The 11,143-nt window shown below is 45.0% G+C and overlaps 1 long non-coding RNA gene across 1 annotated transcript, besides 1 other annotated feature; it reads right to left on the bottom strand.

The window, feature by feature from the left end:
* Positions 1-5,277: 5,277 nt before the first annotated feature.
* Positions 5,278-7,115, bottom strand: LINC00543 (long intergenic non-protein coding RNA 543). The gene has a single exon (NR_135254.1). It is a non-coding gene; the product is annotated as a long intergenic non-protein coding RNA 543 (long non-coding RNA).
* Positions 6,536-6,925: a silencer, noted in NCBI's record as "silent region_5205". NCBI's record gives its function as "represses an Ori minimal core promoter by ATAC-STARR-seq in GM12878 lymphoblastoid cells {active_cell/tissue: GM12878}" and the evidence as "EXISTENCE:reporter gene assay evidence [ECO:0000049][PMID:35858748]".
* Positions 7,116-11,143: the final 4,028 nt, after the last annotated feature.

The following is an 11,143-nucleotide window of genomic DNA, read 5'->3' as shown; positions in this document are numbered from 1 at the left end:
CCGAAGCAATACCTACGGAACAAGGGATGTGGCACGAGTAGGGAGCGCAGCTTGAGGAGTGTAGGGAGGCCTGCACAGGGGCGCCTGAGGTTGAGACCGGATGACCTCGCGGCTCCTGACGCCTCCAGCGCAGAGCTTGGGGTCCCGGCCTCCGAATCCCACGCCTCCACCGCGTCCAGTCGCCGGTTCAGGCGCCAGAGGGCGCGCGCGCTCTGGGAAGAGATGGGGCTTGGGCTCGTGAACCCGGAAAGGTTCCAGTTTTCACCCAGTTGGGAGGTGCAAGCGCCTCTGCCGACTCCGGCTGAGCCCAAACCCGGGCGCTGCAAGATTTTTCTACGTTGGTCGTGGGCCTGTTGAAACTAAGTTAAAACTAAGTCAGGCAGGAGAGATTCTTGGGTTTGTTGAATGTTTAAGAAAAACAAAATTGGGGGAGAGGGACTATACCATTCTAAAAGGGTCATTTTGCACACGATGTTTTCTTTCTAAAAATTACAGTAATGTGGGCACAGTATTAATATATGGTAATACTAGAAATTTAGGATAAATATGAGAATAAAACCTGTCAATATTGTGGAACAGAGGTTTAAAAAAGTGTCTATGGGCCGGGCCGGGCGCAGTGGCTCACGCCTGTAATCTCAGCACTTTGAGAGGCAGAGGCGGGCGAATCACTTGAGGTCAGGAGTTCGAAACCAGCCTAGCCAACATGGCGAAACCCCGTCTCCGCTAAAAATACAAAAATTAGCCGGGCGTCGTGGTGCGCTCCTGTAATCCCAGCTATCGGGAGGCTGAGGCAGGAGAATCACTTGAACCCGGGAGGCGGAGGTTGCAGTGAGCCGAGATCGAGCCACTACACTGCAGCCTGGGCGACAGAGAGAGACTCCGCCTCAAAAACAAACAAACAAAAAAGTATTTATGGAGAATGAACAGCCTGAGTCTTCTCCCCCACGCCCCGCCGTGAACAATTCGTGGCTTTATCATATTCATCCAATAAAGTTAACACGATGGACTGCCAATGAAAGCAACGAATATTTCATTGCAATGTGTTTCATTTCTTTCTAATAATATCCAGAAAGATGCCTACGTCAGTGAAGAAAATATTAAATAACAATCTAAAAACACACATAGCAATATTCTTGCTGTTGTTGTTCACAACCACTCGGAAAAAAAAAGAGGCAACAAGCAGAAATGAAAGAAGTCTCAGCTACAGAATGGCAAGAAAAGTTATTTTATTTATTTATTTTTTTCTGAGATGGAGTTTCACTCAGTCGCCCAAGCTGGAGTGCAGTGGCATGATCTCAGCTCACTGTGACCTCGCCTCCTGGGTTCAAGAGAGTCTCCTGTCTCAGCAGCAGGTGCACGCCACCATGCCCGGCTAATTTTGGGTCGAAAAGTTATAGATATATTTTAGGGCCACTCTTTGCACCTCGTTTTAGACAGGTTGCTATTTACTAGCCTACTGACCTTGGGAAGGCCCCAACCTCTGAGCTACCACTTCCTTATTTGTAACATGGGGATCCAATGGGGAGCCAATGTAGCATTGTATGCTTATGACCAGACCCCAGTCATGATATGAGCAGCTTCTTGTACTGTATTCTGCAAAGTGCTGGAGAGTCCTTACAAAGAGCTTTTGAGCAAGAAAATTTCTCAAATTATGATAGAATAACCCTTTCCCAGAATTTTTTTTCTAATGCATTCAGCTTTGCTTACTTTGTCAAAATTGCCTGAAGTCTGTGTTCCTTGATTACCACTTCCTAAGCATCTGCATAAAATCTTGAGTGGCAAGGCACTAAGTAGCATTTCAGATGTGGCGACAAGTTGCTGATCTGTATAGCTCACTTGCCCTTTCATTTACTAGAAGACATGTTCCCAACTAGAACATCTAGTTTCTAGCTGTACTTAGGAGAATAAAGATTAGTTGAGGATATAGTTGAGAACCTTCTAATAATCCATCAGCACACTCTTTTTTTTTTTTTAAGACGAATTTTTGCTCTTGTTGCCCAGGCTGGAGTGCAATGGCTTGATCTCGGCTCACTGCAACCTCCACCTCCCAGGTTCAAGCAATTCTCCTGCCTCAGCCTTCTGAGTAGCTGGGATTACAGGCGACCGCCACAATGCCCGGCTAATTTTTTTTTGTATATTTAGTAGAGACGGGGTTTCACCATGTTAACCAGGCTGGTCTTGAACTTCTGACCTCAGGTGATCTGCCCACCTCAGCCTCCCAAAGTGCTGGGATTACAGGTGTGAGCCACTGTGCCTGGCCATCAGCACACTCTTAACCCAAAAGGAGCAGACAGGCAGATACTCTAACTAGATGGCATTAAAAGTTTCTTTATTTTGAGATAATTTCTACCTCAACACCTCAATATTAATTCTGTACTCTTCAGGAGCCACCCCAAGAGTACAGATTTAATATGAGGTACAGGTTTAACATATTAAACCTGTACCTCAGGCTGCTGAGGATTAAATTCTCTAAGGCTGATTCATCCTTAGATGTTGTTTTAAGAAAAATGTTTTACTCTCATCTCCAGAATTCTCCCTTACAGTAAAATTATGGCAGCAGATCTTGCATTAAATTGGTTTTGTTCAGAGTATAACAAAAACATTCATATCTGAGTAATGTAGATTAATTTGTAAATATTTAACTTATCCTCTTAATCACACTTAGACTGCACAAATTTTCAACCCCACAACTCCTACATTCAGTCAGTTTTCCTTTGCCTTTTTCCTTTTGCCTCCTGCTCTTCTTGGAGTGGGTGCACTATGATTTTAACAAACCAAGCAGGTTTTAGAGATGTCTGTGGGGCTAGCTGTGTGACACTGGGCCAAAAGAATCACCTGCTGTCTTTTTTTTTTTTTTTTTTTGAGACAGAGTCTCGCTGTCACCCAGGCTGGAGCACAGTGGCGATCCCGGCTGACTGCAAGCTCCGCCTCCCGGGTTCAGGCCATTCTCCTGCCTCAGCCTCCTGAGTAGCTGGGACTGCAGGCACCCGCCACCATGCCCAGCTAATTTTTTGTATTTTTTAGTGGAGACGAGGTTCACGGTGTTAGCCAGGCTGGTCTCGATCTCCTGACCTCGTGATCCACCTGCCTCGGCCTCCCAAAGTGCTGGGATTACAGGCGTGAGCCACCGCGCCCGGCCTCATCTGCTGTCTTCTTTCTTTAGTTACAAATCAGAGGAATACATATATATAAATAAAGATAGAGATATTTTATATTTAGCTACAAATCAGAGGAATACTATATATAAATAAAGATAGACATATTTTATACATATTTACACATATATAGACATATATGTATAAAATATCATGACTTTCTAGAAGGTTATGACATTAGATTTAGAAAAAAAACCTCTCAAATTCCAGATAAAGAAGGTAGACTCTGTGAGTTCCGGAGATTATACCAACGTTTACCTTGACATTCTTCCTGGAGGAATCAGTCCAGAGAAGGTGGGGGCAGCACTTAGGTGACCTTTTGGCTCCTGCATCTTTAGTGCCCAAACATTACATTTGTTTTAACAACAGCTTTTCCCAATTGGAATTTGTCATTAACCACAGCAGATATAGATAATATCAACAAGGTTGCCAGAGCCCCAAAGTTAAATAACCAGTAAAGCAGGATCCTGGTGATTCTGTGCTAGAGATGTAATCCATAAACCACAACACAACCAGTTTTGATCCACGAAAAAGACTTCCCTGAGATGAAATGATTTTCAAACCATCCCCTCACACGCACATTTACTTAAAAATAATATTTATATCACGTACTGGGTTTATGTGTCCAGTATTTTATTGGTAAGTAAAAACCCTGGGCAGTTCATGCACTTTCATATTTGAGTTTTAAGTTCAAAACTAAAAAGGAATTTTTTCCTAATTGCTCATGTGTTATCTCAGAACTTTCAGGATTAACAGTCTGCTATCTCAAACTTAGTATCTGTAGTATGATGATAATAGGTTTTATGGAAGTGGTAGTTGATAAGTTCCTCTCCAACCTCAGGGAAGCAAACAAGGAAAAACAATGCAGAGCTAAAGTCATTGTAATACAAACTTATGATGGCTTGTTATGTGGCACTTAAATAATTTTAATTTATTGATAATTAGTAGAATCAAGAACAAGGATTATATACCTAAACCACAGATTAGGAGTTGTTAAAAATGACCAGGGCAGGCTCTGTTTCCTACTCACGAAATACACTTCGGGTATTGTTCTTTCACTCTGTATAGCTAATATTTAAAAAACAACAGCTACAGCAAAACTTAACAGAACTAGATTCTGTTTTCAGTCTTCACTCGGCCCTCTCTTTTCTTTTCTTTCATTTTTCTTTTCTTTTCTTTTTCTTTCATTTTTCTTTTCTTTTCTTTTTCTTTTTTCTTTTTTTTTTTTTAGATGGAGTCTCGCTCTGTCTCCAGGCTGGAGCGCAGTGATGCGATCTTGGCTCACTGCAATCTCCGCCTCCTAGGTTCAAGCGATTCTCCTGGCTCAGCCTCCTCAGTAGCTGGGATTACAGGCGCGCACCACCACACACAGCTAATTTTTGTATTTTTAGTAGAGACAGGGTTTCACCATGTCGGCCAGGCTGGTCTTGAACTCCTGACCTCATGATCCGCCTGCCTCGGCCTCCCAAAGTGCTGAGATTACAGTCGTGAGCCAACGTGCCCTGCCAGCCCTCTATTTTCTAGACAGAAGCAGCTCATGTCATGACTGGGGTCTAGTCATAAGCGTACAATGCTACATTGTCTTACATGACTTCACTGGATCCTCAGGTTACAGATGAGGAAGTGGTAGCTCAGAGGTTGGGGTCTTCCCAAGGTCAGTAAGCTGATAAGTAGTAACCTGTCTGTAAAACGAGGTGCAAAGAGTGGCCCTAAAAAACATATAACGTTTCTTGCCATTCTGTGGCTGAGGCTTCTTTTATTCCTACTTGTTGCTGCTTTTTTTTCTCAGTGGTTATGAACAACAACAGCAAGAATATTGCTATGTGTATTTCTTATTATGTGCATTGCCAGAAACAAATAGAAAAAAATACATAAATAAGTCAGAACCAGACATCACTGTCTAGTAACAACATAGAAATGTAGGAGAGTGCAGGAAGAACAAAAAGAAAGAATGCTTGTCTGGAATCCGCACATAAAAACTTAAAACATTATTTTTCCCTTGGACCACTTTGTTAAAAATAATGCGTATTTTAGAAATCCAGATTCTTGTATTTATTTTCATTCATTCCTATTATTTTCATCAAATCTATGAATTTTACGTAAACATCTTTACGCTTTTAGATCGCTGTTAGTGATATATTGTTATATACGTGGCACATTAGACAATGATTCAGATTCTGGTAACTGGAAAATGACAGTTCCTGGGCGTGATCACAAGTCTACAGAAAACCAACAATCGACATTTATTTCTCATTTCTACAGAGAAGTGAGAGTCTTGACATGCGTTAATACATCCAGTGTTATGATTGGTTCTCTTGGGTGGATATTTGTCCGGAATGGGAAACTAAAAAGCGATTCATCAAATGATCATGCCATGTGAAGCTGGTGGGTAAGTTTCTAGGAGGGCCTGGTATTACTGAGTAAAGCAGGGTGCTCCTTTTGTAAATCTATAGTCAGACAAAATAGACAAGAAACAAGCTCATTACCCCAACTTTTAGTTTATTCCCACCCACCCCCCACCCCCAACACTTCTACCTCAGAGAAACTATTGTCTAGATTTGAGTCTTTGAATGTTTTAGACAGAAAAATGGATGAAATTTGTTCTTTGCACATGCTCAAATGGGCCCGTTGTCTACAACACGCCTTGGGGAAGCGTTCGGCCTGGTATTCAAGTATCTCCGCGGATCTACCCCAGCCATTAGAGCAGATAGAGCTCAGGCAGCGCCGACCCGCCCCTTCCCCTGCGGCCGGCGCGGACCAGTCGCGTCCACTCCCGGCCGCCGCGGGGCCCGGGCTCCTTGACCGTCCTCCAAGGCCACTCGGAGCGCAGCTTCCCTGAGCCCAGAGCCTCCCCGCGCTCCCAGCGGGCGCCCGGGGGCTCGTGTCCCGCTGCTCTCGCCCAAGACGGCCGGTCTCGGCCTGCTGCCGGTCCTTGCTGGGTCTGCGCCGCTGCCCGGGATTCCCTGGAGAGATTCGCGGCGTCTCCCGAGAGGTGGCGCGCGGTGAGGGCAGGCGAGGTCCCGGCGCCGCGGCCTCCTGCCGGGTAGGAAGCCCGGGGAGCGCCTCTCCGCCGCCGCCCGTCGCCCCGGAAGTCGCGCCCTGAGATTCCGGGCACTTTCTTTTTCTTCTTTGGAATGGTGTGATGTCCGCGGTTGTTTTTGTCCTTATACCTGAAGACGCCAAGCTTTTCAAAAGGTGCGCGCAACTACGGCGCGGAGGTGCGGGGAACCTGGGCCGCAAGCGCCGAAGCCACTCGGTGAAGAAGGCCTGGAGCACTGGCCTTCGACCCGTCGTCGAAGACCTGGGCTGAGCGATGGTGGCACCAGGCCCAAGGGATTTGATTTTCAAAAGGCGGAACGGGAGCGCTGGTGTGTTCGGCCCGTCAAAGCTGCAGCCGCCCGCGGCCTCCGGCGTCTGGCCTGTCTCGCCTGCGCGAGGCCCCCGGCAGGCGGCGCTGCTGCTCCGGCTGAGCGGGCGGAACGGCCTGGACCCCGCGGCCTCTGTTCCCAGCTCTGCGGCCGATCTGAGAGCTGGGACTCCGGGCGGGGAGCGGGAGGCTGAGCAGGGGCAGCCGGAGCCGCCGCAGGAGGGGCTGAGGGGTGCCCCGCGGCCCCTTTCGGCCGCCTCGGTGGCTTTCCGGGCCTCCTGGCCAAGGGCGCTGGGCTGCGGGTGGGTCTCGGGGGGAGTCGCCTCGCATAGCAGGCGCGAGCTAATCTACTCCTTTCCACTCTCTCGGTGGCGCTGTGGCTCTTAAAACCCCCGCTCCTTCTCTTCACAGCCATCAGAAGGCGCGGCCTGCCACCTGGACAAACGCGGTCTCCCCCAGAGCCCGGTTGCGCCCCGAAGCCGGGTTCCGTCCCATCTCCGACAAAGACACTTCCTGATTTGCCCCTCGCCAGACTCCAGCAATTTTCTGGGTCCCCGGGAAGCTGATTTCGCCTCTGGGCTTCCATGATTAGTGGCAGCTGGAGCGCTGCTCCCCAACCTGGGCCCACTTTAGGGTGTGTGGGGCAGGGAGGAGGGTGGGGTCACTCTTAATCTCGTGTCACAGCTAAATAATTTACTCAAGGTCTTCTCTTCCTGCCAGTTCCCTTCCCTGTTCCACTGCCCTTGACTTCCTGCTTTGTGAAGCCCCGGGGAAAGGCCAACTCTTAATAAAAGTTAATATTAATAGAGGCCCCGTGCGCCGGGCTTCTCCAACACCTCATCTTCCCCTCTCACCTCCACCCACTCCACTCAAGCCCCTTTCCTCGGGGAATTCTTTCAAAACTGGAGATGGGACTTGTACTTTGGGGTATATTCAGGAAACAAGGACGCTTGGGCCACATTGTGTCTAAACCACATCCTCCTCCAGTTTCCATCAGCGCGGAGGGTGGCAAAGGTCGAGCGTGCACTCAGTAGCTGCCACACAGAAGCCGCGCTGGTTCCAAAGCAGTCCAGAGATAAGGGCGGGGGCCAGCCAGCAGGTTCTGCAGGAGAAATACCTGCTGGAAAGAACAGGTCGAGCGATTACCAGAGAGGCGGGGAACAAAATTTACCAGTGTTCAACAGATACTTTAAAAAAGGCAACAAACCAATATTGTACAAAGAATACGTAACAGTATCAAGGTCACTGTTCCCTGATGTGTGTGCGAATTCGAGCCTACTCATTTTCCCATAGCAAAGTCTAGTTTGGTTTGAGCTAAGGGCTTGGACAAACAATTCCTTCCAAGAAGGTTAAACAACGCAGAAATGTGAAAAGAAAAAAGTAACTTCTCCATCCTTTCAATTCCATCCCTCTATTAACAATGTTAACACTGTTGGATGTCATTTCGAGAATTTTTCTGTGCTTACACAAATACGTATTACATTTAAAATCTTGTTCTTTCTTTTCTGTCCTTTAAAAAAAACAAAAATGAAGTCACACTTTACTTTGTGACTTGCTTTTATCATTTAATAATATATCATGGATATTTCACCAGGTCATTACACATAAATCACATCAATTTTTAAAATGTCTATTGCATTATGTAAACAAAGATATAATTTTATCTATTTATTCAATCATTTCTTTTGAATATTTACTATGTTCTAAGTGCTGGGAAAACAGCAGTAATCATCACCATTAAAAATCCCTATTCTTGGGAAACTTAATTCTAGTGGGAAAAAATTTTAAATCAATTTATTTAACGATTTCCTTACAGATGAACATTTAAGTTGTTGTCATTGTTTTGCTATTACAAACCATACGAAGGTAAGCTTTTTACATATACCCTTTTGTAGTTTTGTATATTTAAAGGATAGATTTCTTAAATTTGAAATGGTAGGTCAAAAAAATGTACATTTTAAAACTCTAGTAAAGATAGCCATTGCTTTCCAAAAAACTTTAGCAAGTCACACAATTCACAGTCCCGTTGAGTGAGTTTCCCTTTCTTCATATCCTCTTTTACCCTAGACATTATCTCTTAAATTTTTGCCAATATGATGGACAGAAAATGGTAACCAATTTAATTTTTTATTCTGAAATTATTAAGCAGGTTGAGCATACTTCATGTTTATTGGGCATTCGCATTTTGTCTTCGATGATTTTTCTTTTCTAGTAAACAGAACCAAAAGAAATGGAGTGAGTATCCCAGCCTTCATGCTTGATTTTTAAACTTAAATTATTTTATTTAAGCTTTAAAACAACCAGCATTCATTTCTATGAGACAGATTCTAATCTAGGCCTTTCTGACATCAAACACTGTGTTATTTCAAACATTATTGAGTCTGCTCTCTGAATAGTGTAGACTTTGGGCCAGGCGCGGCCGCTCACGCCTGTAATCCCCGCACTTTGGGAGGCTGAGGCAGGAGAATCACTTGAACTCGGGAGGCAGAGGTTGCAGTGAGCTGAGATCACACCACTGTACTCTAGCCTGGGTGACACAGCAAAACTCCATCCAAAAAAAAAAAAAAAGTGCAGACTTTATAAGTATAAAGGAAGAGTGAGAAGTGACAAAGAAAACAGTAGATAGCAATTAAGGACATCCTATCTGAAATTTAAAAACAAATAACAGAACGATGAAAAGTATTTGCTACAAAAATGCCAGAAAATTGCTAACCTATAAAGAATCCAATACAAAATGAGAAGAAAACATAGACTTTTTTTTTTTTGAGACGGAGTCTCGCTCTGTCGCCCAGGCTGGAGTTCAGTGGCACGATCTCAGCTCACTGCAAGCTCTGCCTCCCGGGTTCATGCCATTCTCCTGCCTCAGCCTCCCGAGTAGCTGGGACTACAGGCGTCTGCCCACCATGCCCGCCTAATTTTTTGTATTTTTAGTAGGGGCGGGGTTTCACTGTGTTAGCCAGGATGGTCTCGATCTCCTGACCTCGTGATCCACCCATCTCAGCCTCCCAAAGTGCTGGGATTACAGGTGTGAGCCACCACGCCCGGCCGAAAACATAGACTTCTAAAGAAATATTGGCAAGGCCGGGTGCGGTGGCTTATGCCTGTAATCCCAGCACTTTGGGAGGCCAAGGCAGGTGGATCACAAGGTCAGGAGTTCGAGACCAGTCTGGCCAACATAGTGAAACACAAAAAAGTAGCCGGATGTGGTGGTGTACGCCTGTAATCCCAGCTACTCGGGAGGCTGAGGCAGGAGAATCACATGAACCTGGGAGGTGGAGGTTGTGGTGAGCTGAGATCACGCCATTGCATTCCAACCTGGGCAACAGTGCGAGACTCCGTCTCAAAAAAAAGGGCAAATAATAACCAAAACTAAAAAATCCAGTACTCAGTGCTGGTGAGGATATGATGAAACAGGCACCCCACAGGAATAATAAAATAATACATTAATATGTATTTCTAAATGGCAATCTGGCAATATAGTCACAAGTCATAAACTGCTCACACTCACTAAGTTCCATATGTAGAATCTAGTCTCAGGAAATACTAAAAAAATAGGGAGTTGGAAATAAGTATCCAACATTAAGGTTTTGGATCACAGTGAGGTATCATCTCACACTAATCAGAATGGCTATTATTAAAAAGTCAAAAAATAAGAGGTAGCGAGGTTGTGGAGTAAAGAGAATGTTTATACACTGCTGGTGGGAATGTTTAGTTCAGTCATTATGGAAAGCAGTTTGGAGATTTTCAAATAACTTAGAACTACCACCTGAATCAGCAATCCCATTACTGGGTATATACCCAGAGGAATATATCATTCCCCCCAAAACACAAATACACACGTATGTTTACTGCAGCACTATTCACAATGGCAAAGACATGGAATCAACCTAGATGTCCATCAATGGTAGACCGGATAAAAGAAATATGGTACATATACACCATGGAATACTACACAGCCATAAAAAGGAATGAAATCATGTACTTTGCAACAACACAGATACAGCCAGAGACCAGGAAAAGAAAACTAAATACTGCATGTTTTCACTTATAAGTGAAGCTAAACATTGAGTACACATGGCTGCAAAGAGTGGAACAATACACATCAGGGCTTACTTGAGGGTGGAGTGTGGGAGAAGGGCGAGGATCAAAAACTACCCACTGGGGCTAGGCTTGGTGGCTCATGCCTATAATCCCAGCACTTTGGGAGGCCGAGGTGGGTGGATCACTTGAGGTCAGGAGTTTGAGACCAGCCTGGCCAACATGGTGAAACCCCATCTCTACTAAAAATACAAAAATTAGTCAGGTATGGTGGTGCATACTTGTAATCCCAGCTACCCAGGAGGCTGAGGTATGAGAATCACTTGAACGGAGGTTGCGGTGAGCCAAGATCATCACTTTAGCCTGGGCGACAGAGCGAGATCCTGTCTCCAAAACAAAACAGAACCTATCCATTGGGTACTATGCTCACTGCTGCCTGGGTGATGAAATCATTTATACACCAAACCCCAGCAACATGTAATTTACCCATGTAGCAAACCTGAACATGTATCCCTTGAACCTAAAATAAAAGTTAAAAGAAGAAAAAAAAATTAAGGTTTTGGATAACTAACTTATGTTACAT

Source organism: Homo sapiens, chromosome 13 (genome assembly GCF_000001405.40).
Source record: "Homo sapiens chromosome 13, GRCh38.p14 Primary Assembly".
In the NCBI taxonomy this organism is placed as follows: domain Eukaryota; kingdom Metazoa; phylum Chordata; class Mammalia; order Primates; family Hominidae; genus Homo; species Homo sapiens.
This window is presented reverse-complemented; position numbering and strand designations above follow the sequence as displayed.